The 18,726-nt window shown below is 38.4% G+C and overlaps 1 protein-coding gene across 4 annotated transcripts in view; it reads left to right on the top strand.

Annotated features, from left to right (window-relative positions):
- WDR44 (WD repeat domain 44) overlaps positions 1 to 18,726 on the top strand; it is a 103,889-nt gene that overhangs the window by 18,933 nt on the left and 66,230 nt on the right. For all 4 annotated transcript variants that reach the window (NM_001184966.1, NM_019045.5, NM_001184965.2 and 1 more), the window contains exon 2: positions 13,414 to 13,447. In NM_001184966.1, the coding sequence (NP_001171895.1) occupies positions 13,414 to 13,447 (34 nt within the window). The remainder of the gene's footprint in view (positions 1 to 13,413; positions 13,448 to 18,726) is intronic.

Raw genomic sequence — 18,726 nt, forward strand, 5'->3', positions numbered from 1 at the left:
ACCAAATTGATTTCTCTCTTCTGAGTATGTTCTGTTTCATCAGTGTTCCTTTTAAAATGAATCTCAAAAAGTATATGATGTTCCTAAATGTGCTTTTATCAGTAAGAAGTAGAAGAGAACTTACCATTCCCCTTGCTCTGGACATGATAGTTCTGATAATTCAGCCTAAAAACACAGTAGTTTTGGCAGCCATATCACAGTCTTTGTCTGAGCAATCAACCAAAATACCTAAATGTTTTCACATGATTTGCTGTTAAGCCATGTCTCTCCCATCGTGCATTTTACATTTATCCCTACTACATTTCATACCGTTAAGATTTGACCCATTGTTCTAGCCCATTGAAATATTTTGGTGGCCAGTGGCAGTGGCTCACACCTGTAATCCCAGCACTTTGGGAGGCTGAGGCAGAAAGATTGCTTGAGCCTGGGAGGTCGAGGCTGCAGTGAACCATGATCGTGCCACTGCACTCCAGCCTAAGCAGCAGAGCAAGACCCTGTCTCCAAAAAAAAAAGAAAAAAGAAAAAAGAAAAATTTTGGGGTCCTGTCAGCCAGTATATTACCTGTCTCTCTCAACTTTGTGTTATCTGCAAATTTAGTAGATATGCCATCAGTATCCTTATCCAAGATATTAGTAAGAACATCAGGTAGGGTAGAAAGTAATTTAGTGCTTAAAACCGGATTTTTGTGTGTGTGCAATATTCTCTTTTATTCTAGGCCAGTAACCCTATCAGAAGAGGAAATTAGGTTAATCTTGCATGATTGGCTTCTGTGAATGCTTGCTGACTCTTAATGAGTATCTTTTTCCCTTGCATAGGGCTCTTAAACAATTAAACAGTGTTTAAGAAATTTGTTTGGAATTGACATCAAATCAATCTGTCTGTAGTTGGTGGCATCTAGGCATCTACCTGCTTTGCAGAGTTGACTATTAGTGTTTTCTTTACATCATCCCCTTCCATTCCCCTGATTCTTCAAAGGTTTTAGATGGAAATTGAGCTCTGCAAATTCTCAGATACACTGGGACATAATTTGGGAGAGTAGAATGGAAGTCACTTATAATATTAATAGTTAGGTACTTTTATCTCCTTGAATGCTTTGGGATTCAGTTTCCTCATTCTACAATTTGTTTTTCCCTTTCTGGTTTGACTATCAGTAATCTTAATAGAAAAAAAAGTTGAGATAGCCTTTTACATTATAATAACGTATACTTATCCATATATAAGTAGACCTGCACTTTATATTTGTTGTGCTTGTTCTGAGTATAAATTAAGAAAAATCTTGTCTCCGGTATTTTTTTTAAATCTTAGCACATTCTGAGTGCCAGCCTTTCTGATAATGTTCTTACAGGTTTTTGCAATTTTTCTTGGATATGTGCCCATTCCATCCCTCCAATCTCTCCTGCATGTTTTTAAAAAAATATTTCTTCTGACATGTCACCATGAAGATGCAATCAACAAAATTCAGACATGAGAAATTCTACAGGATGAGCAACCTACTTTCTTCAACACATGAATTGCAAGAAATAAGAGAGATTGAAGGGGAACCTGCTGATTTATCGAAAGAGACATATCAACTGATTGTAATATATGGACCGTATTTGATTGATATAAACCAAACGTACAAAAATTTGGGCAGTCTGGGAAGTCTGAATGTTATATAACAGCATGTTATATATAATATATATAATCTATTAATGTATATAATAAGGAATTGTTAAATTTTATAGTAGTGTTGTGGTTATGTTTTAAAGAGAAATCTTTGTCCTTTTTAGATGCATACTGAAATATTTATGGTTAAAAATGAAATGGTTTCGGCCGGGCGCAGTGGCTCACGCCTGTAATCCCAGCACTTTGGGAGACCGAGGCGGGCAGATGACGAGGTCAGGAGATGGAGACCACGGTGAAACCCCGTCTCTACTAAAAATGCAAAAAAATTAGCTGGGCGCAGTGGCGGGCGCCCGTAGTCCCAGCTACTCAGGAGGCTGAGGCAGGAGAATGGCGTGAACCTGGAAGGCGGAGCTTGCGGTAAGCCGAGATCACGCCACTGCACCCCAGCCTGGGCAACAGAGCAAGACTCCGTCTCAAAAAAAAAAAAAAATGAAATGGTTTCTGGGATTTGCTTCAAAATAATCTGGCAGAGGGGTGGAAGAGGAGTACTGATATTTTTATCATTGTTGAACATGATCAACATGTTGTATATTTGGGTTTATAATATTATTCTCCCAATTTTGTATATATTTGAAATAGCCATAAGTAAATGTTGGAAAAACTCCCCCTAAATATTTATTGTCACATAGATTTTTACTGGCAGATTTGGGACTAAAACTCAGGTCTCCTGATTCTGCTCTTTTTTTGTGTGTGTGTAGCTAAAATTATAGCTCTTGTACTTTCAGATTGATGTCATGTTGTCCTTTCAGTCTCTGGGACCCCCAAGCTTTCCCTGAGAAATTTGTGGTAGTACTTGTAGATAAATTAAGGCCTTACTAAAGGGTCACAGTTTCACTTGACTGGCTACCTACCTATGTGAAACCATAAGGGACATTAGACTTACTAGTGTAGAGAGGCTGCATGGGTTATTAGAACCAGCAAAGAAACTTGGGTCCTAGTCTTCACTAGGCCTTAGCATAAGTTCTAAGATGGCAGGGACCATGTCTGTTTTGTTCACTACTTTATACTCAATACCTGGGACCATGCCAGGTACATGGAAACAATCAGTAAATGTTGAATTAATGGATTAATTTAACCGATGGCATAATTTCCCTCACATGTAAAATGAGACAGTTGATCTAAATGATTCTTAAGTTTCCTTCAAACACTGAAAAAAAAAGTACTCTTGCCTTCTGACTGATTTTTTTAAAATCCTTTTAGGATTTTGAAAAGGATTACTGTAAATTTCTTTAACACTAGGTGACATCAGTAGGTAATATGCTCACTTTGAATAACTGTTATAGAAAAACCACAGTTGCTATATTGCATCAAAATCTCTTTAAAAATAGACTACTGTTATATATTTTCTGTTAGATTGGTATTTATTTCTATAAAGTACATGCATACTGTTCTCAACATACTAAATTAGAGAGTCAGGTTTAGCAAGTTCCAAAGTGTAGCCATCTAAGAAGGTTACTAAAATGTTCCCTTTGCTTGCATACTTGTGCTTTTTGCTTCAGTTGTATTGAATGCAGTACTATTATGTCAGAGTTTATAAAGGATTTGACATTTTGCTTCCCAAGGAAAAATCAGTGGGCAACTTTTGGTTAAGTGGCAGTTATTGTCATCGCATCAGTGACTAGGCTCCTATCATTGGGAGTAATGACCTTATTATGAAATTTTGCTTCAGGTATCTGTAGGTTATCGCTGAATCAGGTCAGAGTTTGTAAAAGAAAACTAATTCCTATACCGTTTTATAAAATCACCAGAACAGTGTTTTGAAGCCACATACATGTTTTGAAATAGTGACTATATATATATATATATATATACTTCTTGAGGACCTTTCCGCATTCCTCCAGCTCCTTCTGAAGCCTTGTCTTGGCTGATACATGGATGTTGATGACCTCTCTTGTTGCTTCTCCCAGCAGTGTTTACCAAGGGCCTTTGGGAAAGGTTTGCATGACATCACAGGGCAGCTAGAGGGGAGAAGTGTTGGGAGACTGGAAAGGCCTCTGTGTGATGCCACTAATCATATGAAGTAGCAATCCACATACTCTTCCTTTTTTTTTTTTTTTTTTTTTTGGAGACAGAATCTTGCTCTGTCACCCAGGCTGGAGTGCAGCGGTGGATCTCGGCTCACTGCAACCTCTGCCTCCCGGGTTCAAGCGACACTCCTGCCTCACCCTCCTGAGTAGCTGGGACTACGGGTGTGCACCACCACACCTGGCTAATTTTTTTTTTCTTTTTGTATTTTTAGTAGAGATGGGATTTCGCCACATTGGCCAGGCTGGTCTCAAACTCCTGACCTCAGACAATCCACCCACCTTGGCCTCCCAAAGTGCTGGGATTACAGGCATGAGCCACCATGCCTGGCCAAAAATAATTTCTATAATTAAAATGCTAAATGAATAGGGACTGGAGAAAGCATGTAATAAACTATTTTATATTCAGACATGAGCTTTGTTAATATAAACTAAATGTTAGCTAGTGTACTAGTGTATGAAAATAACTTTCTTTTTTATTTTATTTTATTTTTTGAGACAGAGTCTCACTCTTTCACCCAGGCGGGAGTGCAGTGGCCCTATCTCGGCTCACTGCAAGCTCCGCCTCCCGGGTTCACGCCATTCTCCTGCCTCAGCCTCCCGACTAGCTGGGACTATAGGCACCCGCCACCATGCCCGGCTAATTTTTTGTGTTTTTGGTAGAGACGGGGTTTCACTGTGTTAGCCAGGGTGGTCTCGATCTCCTGACCTCGTGATCCGCCCGCCTCGGCCTCCCAAAGTGCTGGGATTACAGGTGTGAGCCACCACGCCCGGCCTTTTTTTTTTTTTTTTTGAAATGGAGTCTTGCTCTGTCACCCAGGCTGGAGTGCAGTGGCGGGATCTCGGCTCACTGCAAGCTCCGCCTCCCAGGTTCACGCCATTCTCCTGCTCAGCCTCCCGAGTAGCTGGGGCTACAGGCGCCCACCACCACGCCTGACTAATTTTTTGTATTTTTAGTAGAGATGGGGTTTCACCGTGTTAGCCAGGATGGTCTCAATCTCCTGACCTTGTGATCTGCCCGCCTCGGCCACCAAAGTGCTGGGATTACAGGTGTGGGCTACCACGTCCAGCCGAAAATAACTTTCTAATAGAAAACAGGATATAATGCATTAAAATGTTCTATTTATATTGAAAGTTGCTGAAGTACTAATCTTAAAATTGCCTTTATATTCAAAACCTAAGTGGAAGACACACTAAATAATTTTAGTATTTGATCTGTAAGCCATGTGGGTTTTTTAGTAGAATATCAGTACTTATTTGAATCAGAATTTATTTTGAAGCTGTTTCAGACGTTGCTTTTTGTGTTTAAATTCATTGGCAGCATTGATAGACACTGTCTTCAATTTCAGAAACTATGCTGCAAAATCAAAATTTTGCTGTTTTTGACATTAGTCTAGGCAATGATATTTTGGATTTAACCCCAAAAGCACAGGCAACAAAAGCAAAAATACACAAATGAGATTGTGTCAGACTAAAATTGGTCTGATAAAATTGCACAGCAAAGGAAACAACAGTGAAAAGACAACCTACAGATTGGGAGAAAATATTTGCAAAACATATGGTTTAGATGTTTTGTGCCCTCCAATTCTTATGTTGAAATGTGACCTTCAGTATTGGAGGTAGGCCTAGTGGGAGGTGTTTCAGTCATGGGGCAGATCCCTCATGAATGTCTTGGTGCTGTCCTCACGATGAATGACTTCTTGGCCTGAGTTCACGCAAGATCTGGTTGTTTAAAAGTGGGTGGCATCTCCTCCCCCACTTTCTTCCTGTCTTGCTATGTGATGCATCCCTTTTGCATTCCATGATTGGAAGCTTCCTGAGGCCCTCACCGGGAGCAGATGCTGGTACCATTCTTCTTGTACAGCCTGCAAAACCATGAGCTAAAATAATAAACCTCTTTTTTTTTTTTAGACAGAGTCTCGCTCTGTCGCCAGGCTGGAGTGCAGTGGCGCAATGTCGGCTCACTAAAACCTCCAATTTCCTGGTTTAAGGAATTCTCCTGCCTTAGCCTCCCTGAGTAGCTGGGATTACAGGCACGCAGCAGCACACCAGCTAATTTTTGTATTTTTAGTAGAGATGAGTTTTCACCATATTGGCCAGGATGGTCTTGATCTCCTGACCTCGTGATCCACCCGCCCCATCCTCCCAAAGTGCTGGGATTACAGGCATGAGCCACCGTGCCCAGCCTAAACCTCTTTTTTTTTTTTTAATAAATTACTCAGCCTTAGGTATTTCTTTATAGCAATGCAAATGGACTAACACACCATACATCTGATAAGGGATTAATACCCACAGTATGTAAGGAATTCAAACAACTCAGTAGCCAGAAAACAACCCAATTTAAAAATGGGCAGAGGACCTGAACAGACATTTCTGAAAGGAAGACATACAGACAGATGGCCAACACACAGTGGAACACTATTGAGCCTTAAGAATGGAATCATGTCATATGTGGCAATATGGATAAACCTAGAAGACATTATGTTAAGTGAAATAAACCAGGCATAGGAAGACTACTACTGTATAATCTCACTTGTATGTGGAATGTAAAAATGATGAACTCGTAGAAGCAGAGAGTAGAATGGTAGTTTCCGGGGGTTGGGGGAGTAGGGAGCAGCTGAGGAATGGGAAAATATTAGTCAGAGGGTACAAAGTTTTAGTTAGGAGGAATAAGTTCTGGAGAACTATTGCACAGCATGATGACTATAATAATAACAATGTATGTTTCAAAATTGCTGAGAGAGTAAATTTTGAATGTTCTCACCACAAAAGATCAGTATGTAAAGTGAAGAATATATTAATTTGCTTGATTTAAAGATTTACCATATTTGTAATTAGTATTAATATGTTGGAAGTTTGAGTTTTGTTTTGTTTCTGCTGTTAGGTGAGCAAGGAAGCCTAGCTCTTGAAATTTGTATTTTTGTTCAACTTTGTAAGAAGCATATTTATTATTTAAATAAATATTTATTGATCAGATAGTAAATGCATCAGAAATATTTGATTTAAAGGTGCCCTATGATGAAAGCTTTGGAAAGAAAAAATGAACTTTTGAAGCTCTCATTTTGGTTTGTCGGGTTTTCTTTAAAAACATACCACCAATACTCAAATATGTCTACATGTAACTTCAGAGTTTTCTGAAAAATTTTCCGTGTGTGTGGTTTAATAAAGTTATTTTATGTAGACATTTGAACTTTTTCTGCAAAAAATTACCTTAATATGTAAAAAGGATAAATCCAATTTACCCCATTTAGTATCTATAGAATATTTTGAAGAAATATTTTTCTATTTTTCTTTTTTTATTTCTTTTTTTTTTTTTTAGCTCCTGCTATCACTGGAGAAAAAAATATTTTTCTAGTTAACTAGATGTAGCAAAGTATTATTGGACATTTCTGGGTATGTACGTGTATGTCTGATTATATCCGTGTTTTATATAATATATTTCAAATTTAAGGGAAATTAGAGGATATAATATTTAGATCATTAATCATGGTACAAATTATGTCTCCACTCTCAAACTAATGGTCTTAAGACAAAATTCCCTAAAATTATAGGAACTCTAAAATCCCTTGCTTAAGATATTTCTGCTAGTTAGTGGGAGAGCTAAGAGTAGAACTTAATTTTCTTGACATCTAGTTCCCCATTTCTCCCTCCCATCCCCAAACTTGAACATGAATAGTTGTTTTCTTTAGGCACATAAACACTGAAATAGTCTACTGTTACTATCTCTACTTTGACATTAGAGACTTATTTACAGAGAATTTTTGAGTTGTCTAAGGATACTGAAGATTAATAACACCTCACTTATCTGTTGGCCACCTCTGTGGTAATGACAGTTCTCAAGATACAGCTGAAAACAAGAAATAAGCATTTAAAAAGCCTCTGAACAGTTCAATAAAAAAAAAAGTGCCACAAAGTTCAAAATAAGATTATGTACGTAAAGTCTCATGGGGAGACCCTTAGGATCCCTAGATTCTCCCTTCACCATACAATTTCATATTAAGGAAATCTGGTTTCCCAGCTCAATGCAGATTAGAAGCACAAGTGAGAAGGATGGTGGGAAGAAAGCTTTTAAATGCAGGCGCATGGCTGACTGTAATAAGCCACCGCTTATAGGCTGGGTGCGGTGGCTCACGCCTGTAATCCCAGCACTTTGAGAGGCTGAGGAGGGCGGATCGTCTGAGGTCAGGAGGTTGAGACCAGCCTGGCCAATGTGGCGAAACCCCATCTCTACTAAAAATACAAAAATAAGCCGGGCTTGGGGGCGGGCACCTGTAATCCCAGCTACTTGGGAGGCTGAGTCAGGAGAATAGCTTGAACCTGGGAGGCGGGGGTTGCAGTGAGCCAAGATCATGCCACTGCACTCCAGCCTGGCCAACAAGAGCAAAACTCCGTCTCAAAAAATAAAACAACAACAACAACAACAACAAAAAGAAGTGACCACTTAAAGTGAGGAAGGAAATATAAAACTATAAAACACAGACATTCCAGGCATAGTAACTTAGGGTCCTTGAAGGCAAATAAATCTGCACTTTAGGGTCCCTAAAGTGTATTAAAATATAATGTAGTATTTGAGCGTGATAATTAAGAAGGACAATTGTATATCCTTTGTTTAAGAAGATATTTTCAGGGAAAGAGTACTGAAACTGCAAGGTTTAACCTACTCATGTACTTATTTACAAGCTGCTTTTGAGATTTTTAAATTCAAAAATAGTTAAAATATTATCAAAAATTTGGCACTCAAAAGCTTCATCTCTCTGGAAATTTTACATGTGGAACGTTTCATTATTTCATTCCCTAGCAGTCCAAGGCAATTAGGTGTTAATTGTAGTTGTTAAAGGCAGGTCAGGATTCAGAGCCTTTGACTTAATCAGTTTAGTCCAATTCAAGAAGCAGCGTTAATTGCCTTTACTTTGGTGCTCATACACAGCACCAGTTACAGTGTTTTCATAATTATCTTCTTTTAAGTCCTTACCCAGAGAGGAGGCAGTATTGCGAAGTGGTTGAGAGAATGGGCTCTGGAGTCAGGCTGCCTAGGGTCAAATTCTGGCCCTACTGTTTACTAGCTGTACAATGTAAATGACCTAATCTGACTCAAGCCAGTTTTTTGTTATGTAAAATAGAGCAAGTAATATAACCACCTAATAGGAGGGCTGTGAGGACCAAAGAAGCTAAAACATGTCAAGTGTTATAGTTTTTGGCAAATGCTTAATAAATGATGGCCATTGTTTTATTTTATTTTATTTTATTTTATTTTTTCATTATACTTTAAGTTCTGGGATACAGGTGCAGAACGTGCAGGTTTGTTACGTAGATATACATGTGTCACAGTGGTTTGCTGCACCCATCAATCCGTCATCTACATTAGGTATTTCTCCTAATGCTATCCCTCCCCTAGCCCCCCACCCCCTGACAGGCCCTGGTGTGTGTTGTTCCCCTCCCTGTGCCCATATGTTCTCATTGTTCAGCTCCCACTTATGAGTGAGAATATGCGGTGCTTTATTATTTTTACAAGGCCCCTATTAGGAAAGTTTTGTGTGATAATACTAAATAATGTTTTTTATTGCTTCTTAGGGTGAAATGAATTGGTTTTTTTTCATCTTGGCACATGATACAAATCATTTTAGCCAACTTTGCAAGTTATAAATATGCCTTCACTTTTTACTAGGCATTAATGTTCTACAAATGGATTTAGAAATTTGTCACAAAGGAATTCTACTCTTACAGATTACCCTGTTAAAGACAGTTTTAGGCTTAATAGACTTGAAATTGTAGTAGTTTGAAATGTTCCTACCTACCAAGGCCTTAACAACTTTGTAACATTTAACATATACCTCAAACATGAGTGTCTTTTGTTACTAGTTTTTTATTTAGTGATGTCACCCAGTTGCAAGCAGGATCCCATTTTAATCACCAGCTCAATATGATATAGCTTTTTCATGTTCCCTGTCGTTAAATGTGCTGGAACTTGACAGGCTATAGGGGACCTTTGCTGTATTCCAGAAATTGGTCTCAGGCTCCCCACTACTGACAGACTGCCAAAGTGCCTTTGAGAAACTTGGAGCATTTCAGAGCTGCTGAAGAGACTACACTATCATGTGTGTCCCATGTACTCACTCACTTCATCCTCATAGAAGTTCTATGAAATAGATGGTTTTACCCCCTTTTGCAGAGGATGAGATCGAGGCTTGGAGAAATGATTTGATCACACATAGGATAAATAGTAGAAACAATATTGAAGCAAGGTTCATCTGCTCAAAAGCCTATATTTTACTGTCTCCTCGTCTCTCAAAAGAAAATAATAAATTACTCTGTATAGTTTGTACACAGTTATATGTAAAGCCCCACCAGAACCAATCTAGAATATTTCCATATATTTCCATGTGTGTCAGTAATTAGCCAATAACTTTGATCCTATGAATCAACAGCCAGAGAGTACTGTTTTTGAAACTAGTGGCACACAAGAAATAAATATGGCTTCCTGGTTTTTTTTTGTTTGTTTATTTTGTTTTTTGACAGCTAAAAAACCTGTTCAGATATCTCAAGGTGTGAGGGTTGCTGGAAAGGCCAAGTTTCTTCCCTTCTCTACCTCATATGGGGCTTAATTTTAAAATATCTTACCCTTCTTACCTTTATGCCTTTGTTGCAGGTGATTGGCATCCTGAATTTTGTACCACATGGAAATTTGTGCCCCTTAAAGGTTTTTCAGGCTAGGTGCAGTAGCTCACCCCTGTAATCCCAGCACTTTGGGAGGCTGAGGTGGGAGGATCGCTTGAAGCTAGGAGTTCAAGACCAGCCTGGGCAGTAAAGTGAGACCCCATCTCAAAAAAAAAAAAAAAAACAAACAGGTTTTTCATTTTTGCTTTTTAATATTTGTTGTTGTTTTGATTGCACTTGTATTATTTAAGATATCAATTTGTGTGGAATCTTCTTTCTTTTTTTGAGTATGGATTAGCCTCAGTCCTAACTAATCAACTCTAGATAAACAGGATTTTGATACATTGCAGTGTAAGTTTGTCAGGGGACCAAAATAATTAGCAATATATGTTTTCATTTCTGGAAATTGTCCTTTGTTAACACATATTTATATTGACCAGACATTGTAATTAAATGGGTACTATTTTATGACAACTACTTTTTTTGTTTTCTAAACAAATTTAACTCCCTCCCCTAAACTAGAATTTTATCTAATTTATCTTTGTATCTCTAGTCTTGGTACATAGTAGGTAATTCATAAATGTCAGCTTTGGGTGTCTGGTTTTATTTTTTGTTTTGAGACAAGGTCTCGCTCTGTCACCCAGGTTAGAGTGCAGTAGCACAATCATGGCTCATGGCTCCTGGGCTCAAGTGATCTTCCTACATCAGCCTCCTAAGTAGCTAAGACTGCAGGTGTGCAACCCCATGCCTGGCTGGTTTATTTTTATTTTGTAGAGATGGGGTGTCACTATATTGCCTAGGCTGGTCTCAAACTCCTGAGATCAAGCAATCCTCCCGCCTTGGCCTCCCAAAGTGCTGGGATTACAGGTATGAGCCACTGCACCCAGCCCATAAATGTTTGTTGAGTAAAGGGATTGATTTTCTGTTACTCAAAAGTAATTTTTTTAACAAATTAAGTTTTTATTAGAGGTCAAGGATTCCTCTACCAAAGGAATCATTACCCAGTTTGGCATATAAAAACATGTTAGTAGGACTCATTTCTTCTCTTGGTTGTGCTCCAAAATACGACTTTGAGGAAAAGTCACTTAATCTCTTGGAATCTCAGTTTCTTGATCTGTAAAAAGAGGCTGTGTGATTAGATCATCTTGAAGGTGCCTTTCAATTCAAATTTGCATCATGTAATCATTGGATTTTACCAAAAAAAAATTAGAAATGGCATATTAATTATTTAAAACTTTCCTATTGCATAACCCCAAGGTATAACTAAGTAGCCTTATGCTTTGAAGCAGATATCAGACTGTTCCTATTCAAAAAAAAAATGTGGGGGAAAGGGTGAAATGGTGAAAAGTTACTTTTAAAAATTATTACATCCAGGCTGGGTGCGGTGGCTCCCTCCTGTAATCTCAGCACTTTGGGAAGATGAGGCGGGTGGATTGCTTGAGCCCAGGAGTTCGAGACCACCTTTAGCAATATGGCAAACCCCGTCTCTATACAAAAGTACAGAAATCAGCTGAGCATGGTGGCACGTGCCTGTAGTCCCAGTACTTGGGAGGCTGAGGTGGGAGGATTGCTTGAGCCCAAGAGGTTGAGGCTGCAGTGAGCCATGATGGTGTCACTGCACTCAAGCCTGAGTAACGGAGTGAGACCCTATCTCAAAAAAATATGTATTACATCCAGAGTAGTCTGTTTAAGAACAGAGTCTTGCTCCAGTAGAAAAATGAGCTGAGAGTGGTACACAGTGGTTCGTTCCTGTAATCTCAGTACTTTGAGAGACTGAAATGGGAGGATTGCTTGAGCCCAAGAGTTCAAGACCAGCCTGGGCAACATAGTGAGACCCTGTCTCTACAAAAAAATACAAAATATTAGCTGGGTGTGGTGGCGCATGCCTGTAGTCCCAGCTACTCAGAAGACTGAGACTGGAGGATCGCTTGAGACCAGGAGGTCGAGGCTGCAGTGAGCCAAGATCACACCACTGCACTCCAGCCTGGGCAACAGCAAGACTCTGTCTTTAAAAAAAAAAGAAAAAGTAAAAGCTGAGAACAAAAATGGGTATCTCTCTTCAAAATCGATATAAATGTCTAATACATATGAAAATTTTCATCCACACTGGAAATCAAAGTACAAATTAAAACACCAATGAGATATACTTTTGCCTGTCAACTTGGTAAAAAAAAGTTTAAAATAACACTTATTTTTGGTGAGGGTATTAAGAAACAGGCATTCACAGAGCAGTAGGAGTGTAAACAGGTACAAGTTGGCAGTTTGAAAGTAGTGTTATGTCATATACAACTATATATGTACATATGAAGATAAAAGATACTCAGATCTCTAGGTGATAAGATTATGTATGAATCACTTTAATTTTCTTCTCTCTCTTTTTTTTTTTTTTTTTTTTAAGAGATGGGATCTTGCTGTCTCCCCCAAGCTGGAGTGCAGTGGCACAATCATGGCTCACTGCATCCTTGAATTCCTGGGCTAAAGCAATCCTTGTGCCTCAGCCTCCTAGGTAGCTGGGTCTACAGGCAATAGCCACCACACCTGGATAATTTTTAAATTATTTGTAGAGACAGGGTCTCACTCCGTTGACCAGACTGGTCTTCTCCACTTTTTTTTTCTTTTTCTTTTTGAGATGGAGTCTCGCTCTGTCACCAGGGCTGGGGTGCAGTGGCATGATCTCGGCTCACTGAAACCTCCGCCTCCCGGTTCAAGTGATTCTCCTGCCTCAGCCTCTCAAGTAGCTGGGATTATAGGCACGCACCACCACACCCTGCTAATTTTTGTATTTTCTGTGGAGGTGGGGTTTCGCCATATTCAGGCTGATCTTGAACTCCTGACCTCAGGTGATCCGCCTGCCTCAGCCTCCCAAAGTGCTGGGATTACAGGCGTGAGCCACTGCGCCCAGCCTCTCTTCCACTTTTTGTTTTCCACATTTTCTACGTGCACACAAGACTTTTCAGTCACAAAATATATACACATTTTTTAAATGTGGACTTGTCTGTAGTAAGTGTATAGAAGTATTTGTCTTCTCATCTCCTCTATTCAACACCTCCTTACTTTTATTTCTGAACAGGTCTCCAGGAAAAGTTGGGCTTTCAACATTCAAGGTAAGTTGTGCTTTCTGAAAGTTATGTTTTTAGAAATTGTATACTTTTTATTCGTGTTTTTGTGTAATTCTTCATTTTCTTGCTTTTGCTTTTTTTTACTTACTTTTTGCTCAGTAATGTAGTCATTATGTCCTACTTGGTATACATAGGTACTCTAGAAATACCTAACTAAATATTATGCTGTAAAGAAGGAACTGTAAGTATTTTTTAGATTTCTACTGATTTTTATTTGTTTATAATATCTAGAATAAAAGAACGTGTGTGTGTGTGTGTGTGTGTGTGTTGAAAAAGTGATACTTGGCCAGGCATGGTGGCTCACACCTGTAATCTCAACACATTGGGGGGCTGAGGTGGGCAGATCAGTTGAGGTCAGGAGTTTGACACCAGCCTGGCCAACATGGTGAAACCCCGTCTCTACTAAAAAAAAAAAAACACACAAAAATTATCCAGGTGTGGTGGCGCAGACCTGTATTCCCAGCTACTTGGGAGACTGAGGCAGGAGAATTGCTTGAACCCAGGAAATGGAGGCTGCAGTGAACTGAGATCGTGCCACTGCACTCCAGCCTGGGTGACAGAGCGAGACTCCACCTCAAAAAAAAAAGCAAAAAATTAATACTTGCATGACAAAAATGTACAGTAACTGAAACACATGTATACTTCTTGTGGGCCCATGTACCATCACTATATATAAAAATCAATCCCAGCTTATATTCAGGCAGAGGAGTTTGGTATTGAGATATTATGCCACTGAGAGCCATTTTAAGTATAAGATATCACCAAATGGAACTATTTATATCAGATAGAGTATATATTGTATATGTATATTTATATGTATGTGTAATCTCAAACATGCTATATTTTTTTCAGTTCCAGTATACCGACCTTCTGTTTATACACATTGGATACCAGTCTCTTTGATAAATTATGATATGTTTATATGAAATATTCTACAGTAGTAGAAATGAATGAATTAGTTATATACAATGACATGGATGAATTTCAGCACTAGAGTGTTGAGTTGGGGGTAACTACTCATAGAAAAACATATACAGTAACGTTTCATTTATATTAAGTTCAAAAGCATGCCAAACTAAAGAATATATTGTTTAGAGAATAGATTGTTTAGAGATACAAGCGTGGTAAAACTGTGAAGAATTACCAGGGAATGAGAAATACAAAATTTAGGATATCGGTCATTCTCTGAGGGGGAGAGATTGTAATGGAAATGGAGAAGGATACACAAGAGACTTGAAAACTGATAATAATGTTCTTTTTCTTAAATTGAGTGCTTAAGAAAAGTTATATCATAACTCTTACGCTAAATAAAAATTATTTTGTATTTACTTAATATTTAATAAAAACAGTCTTTAAAAGTAATAACGTGTAGGGTTGAAATTTACTCAGGACAAAAGGTATATGGTTGAAAATGTAGCTTTCCTTCCACTTCTCATCCCCCACCTCTCAAACTTCATATCCAGAGGCGATTACTGTTTATGCTTATAGGTCTTAAAAGCCATTTAGCGCTAAGATATTTTTATATTATAACAAATAGATTTGGAGAATTTACTTTACCCCGTAATTATAGATTGTCCTTAACTTGAGTGAAATTAGATAACAAGTATACATATTTAGTAAATAAATATGAAGTTGGATATTGTTCATTTTTTTAACTTTTTATTTTGAAATAATTATAGATTCACAGGAAGCTTTAAAGATAATGCAGAAAGGTCCTGTATATTCTTCACCATTTCCCCAGTGGTTATATCTTAATTATAGTACAATTTTAAAATGAGGAATTTAACGTTGGTGCAATGCGAGTGTATAGTTCTGCGCCAATTTATCATGTGTATATTTGTATAACCACCACAATGAAGATGCAGAACTATTTCATCATCACAAAGATCTCCGTTGTGCTACCCCTTTATAATCACACCCACCACCTTCCCCATATCATCCCTAAATCTGTTTTCCATCTCTATAATTTTGTCACTTAAGGAATGTTCTATAAATGGAATTATATACTATGTGACCTTATGGGATTGGTTGAAAGGGTCACGATCCATCCAAGTTGTTGTCTGTATCAATGGTTTGTTTCTTTTTATTGCTGAGTAGTATTATATGATAAACATGTACTGAGGCTATTGAGTGCATATTATGAATAACAGTATATCTATTGATATTGTAATATAAAGGAAGGCTTGATATAGTTCTGATTGTTGGTGATTTTACAGTCTGATGGAAGAGACATGTATACAAAAGGGCAATTTATGAGGTCTCGATGTTTGTAAAATAGAATAGACGTGTTAACTGCCACAAGGGGTTTGGAGGAACGAGAGGAAGATAGAATTGGCGTGAGAGCACTGTTACCTGAAATAGCAGAGAAAAGTTTCAGGGAGGAAATAGAACTTTTGCTGAGCTTTGAAAATTGGGAGAGGTTTGCATAGGTAGATAGAGAAAAATTGGGAAAGCATTGTAGTTAGGAAATAGTAGGGACTAATAAATATGCAAAAGCATGGGATTTGCTAGAAGCATTGAAAAACTGTGACCAGTGTAAAAGTTTCAGTGGTAGAGTACTGGAAAATAAATTGAGGCCAGATTGTGATGAGCCTTGAATGTCAGGTTACCTGATTTTATCATAATACTATGTATACATGCATTGAAACATCACATTATACCCTGTAAATATGTATCATATTATGTGTCAATTAAAAATTAAATTATAATTTAGAAAAGAGATGGGGCGCAGTGGCTCACGCTTGTAATCCCAGCACTTTGGGAGGCTGAGACGGGCAGATCACCTGAGGTCAGGAGTTAGAGACCAGCCTGGCCAACATGGTGAAACTCCATCTTTACTGAAAATACAAAAATTAGCCAGGCGTGGTGGCACATGCCTGTAATCCCAGCTACTTGGGAGGCTGAGGCAGGAGAATCACTTGAATCTGAGAGGCTGAGGTTGCAGTGAGTCAAGATTGTGCCACTGTACTCCACCCTGGACGATAGAGTGAGACTCTGTCTCAAGTTAAAAAAAAATTTAGAAAAGAACTCTGATCTTTAAAATTTTGAAGCAGGATATTTTTGGGTTTCTTTTCCTTGCTTTTCTTTTCTTTTCTTTCGTTCTTTCTTCTTTTTTTTTTTTTTTTGATGGAGTCTCACTCTGTCACCCAGGCTGGAGTGCAGTGATGCAATCTTGGCTCACTGCAACCTCCGCCTCCTGGGTTCAAGCAATTTTCCTGCCTCAGCCTCCCAAGTAGCTAGGATTATAGGCGCCCGCCACCACACCCAGCTAATTTTTGTATTTTTAGTAGAGATGGGGTTTCACCATGTTGGCCACACTGGTCTCAAATGACCTCAAGTGATCTGCCCACCTCAACATCCCAAAGTGCTGGGATTATAGGCATGAGCCACTGGGCCCGACCAGTATATTTTTGTTTTTTGAAGGTCTCACTCTGTCACCCAGGCAAGAATGCAATGGCACAATCACAGCTCACTATAACCTCGAACTCCTGGTCTCAAGGACTCCTCCCACCTGAGACTCCCAAGTAGCTAGGACTACAGACTCAAACCCCACACCCAGCTATTTTATTTTATTTTTATTTTTTAGAGATAGGGTCTTGCTAGGTTGTCCAGACTGGTCTGAAACTCCTGGCCTCAAACCATCCTCCTCCCTTGGCCTCCCAAAGCATTGGGATTACATGAATGAGTCTCTGTGCCAGGCCTAAAGTGGGACATTTAAAAAGTCAACTTTTATATGTCTTACAGCTGTGCTGCCAAGGTGGTTTTTTTGTTTGTTTGTTTGTTTGTTTTTGCTCGGGAACTAAGAAAACTGGTGGAAGGGTGGAAGAAAGTTTGGAGGAAAAAGACTTAGGTGCAAAGAAAGCTGTCAAGAGGCAGTTAAAATGTCAAGACATGAGACTCCAACAAAGGGAACAGCATTGAAAGGAGTGGATGTATGGATATGACAGCGATTTAAGAGTTGTTTACTTTTTAGAACAATTTTCTCAGCAAAAAAAGAGTGGAAGTCACATTTATAAGTTTTTCTCCTTTTTTAAAAAATTTCACTTTAGTAGCTTCCCTTCCCTTACTACTAAAAATTACCAGTTACCTGAATTTTTCTATAATTAATGTTTTTAGCTTAATGTTCTTTAGTAGGTAATAATGAAGATTTCTGTGAGTGTAGATCACTTTCATACAAATACTTTGTTGGGTGTACTTATTAAAATTAAAAAGCTGAAATCTTATAACCAAATACTGCAGGGGGGTTATAGACAGCTCTGTAATATCCAACACAGGTGGAGGTAACTGTTACATGAATTGCTGAAAATTGAATAAGCTACCATACCTTTTAAGGAAGCAAATTTTTGATACCATGATAGATAGGAGTTAGAGAAATTGCCTAATAGTAGGGAAGCTGGGATTTAGTAAGTACTGCATTTTAATAATGGGTCAGCACATCACCAGAAGTAGGTAATGGACTGTCTCAAGTATAGCTAAGTTGGCATTGGTTGTCTGTGGACACATGCTTGGCTTCCATTCCTTTGTCCCAAAAGCCTGATCAAGGTGTTAGAAGGACCTGGATGTTATACATCACTGAGAGAGAATCATAATTGACTATATATCCTAAGTCTGATTTTATTAAGAAGTCTTCTCTGGAGATCAGGCCCTCTGGTAGGTGCCATATCACTCCTTTAAACTTGTGACTTAAAACAGCAGAGTACCTTAGGAGTTACTATCTTTTAAAAGTTCAGACTCCAAGAGAGTTTTGTTAAAGCCAAATAAAATAGAAGTCTGATCACTGCTTGGCAGTTTTGGCTAGTGTAGGAATGTTAATCTTTTATAAGTAAATAATTGAAACAAATTAGGCCGAGTGCAGTGACACATAGGCCAAGTGCAGTGACTCACGCCTGTTATCCCAACACTTTGGGATGCTAAGGTGGGAGGATGGCTGCATTCCAGCCTGGGCAACTGCGAGACCCTGCTTCTAAAAATCAGTTAATCAAAATGAGGTCCAAAGATTATTAATGTGTAATTTTATGTAGCTTAATTTAGGGAAAATATCCACAGAATTATGCTGTACAATGCTTCTGATTTTCCTACTGATAAACAGTTATTAGAAAATAATTGGATAAAAATAATTAGTAGGACAGTTGAAGGTGTTTCTCTAATATGCATTAACTGTTATTTATTTATTTATTTTTTTCTTTTTTCCTGCGGACCCCGTTCTGCTGAGAGCATCAACTATTCTTAATGGTGATCAGCTTCCAAGTATTCTTTTTTTTTTT

Source organism: Homo sapiens, chromosome X (assembly GCF_000001405.40).
Source record: "Homo sapiens chromosome X, GRCh38.p14 Primary Assembly".
Taxonomy (NCBI): Eukaryota; Metazoa; Chordata; class Mammalia; order Primates; family Hominidae; genus Homo; species Homo sapiens.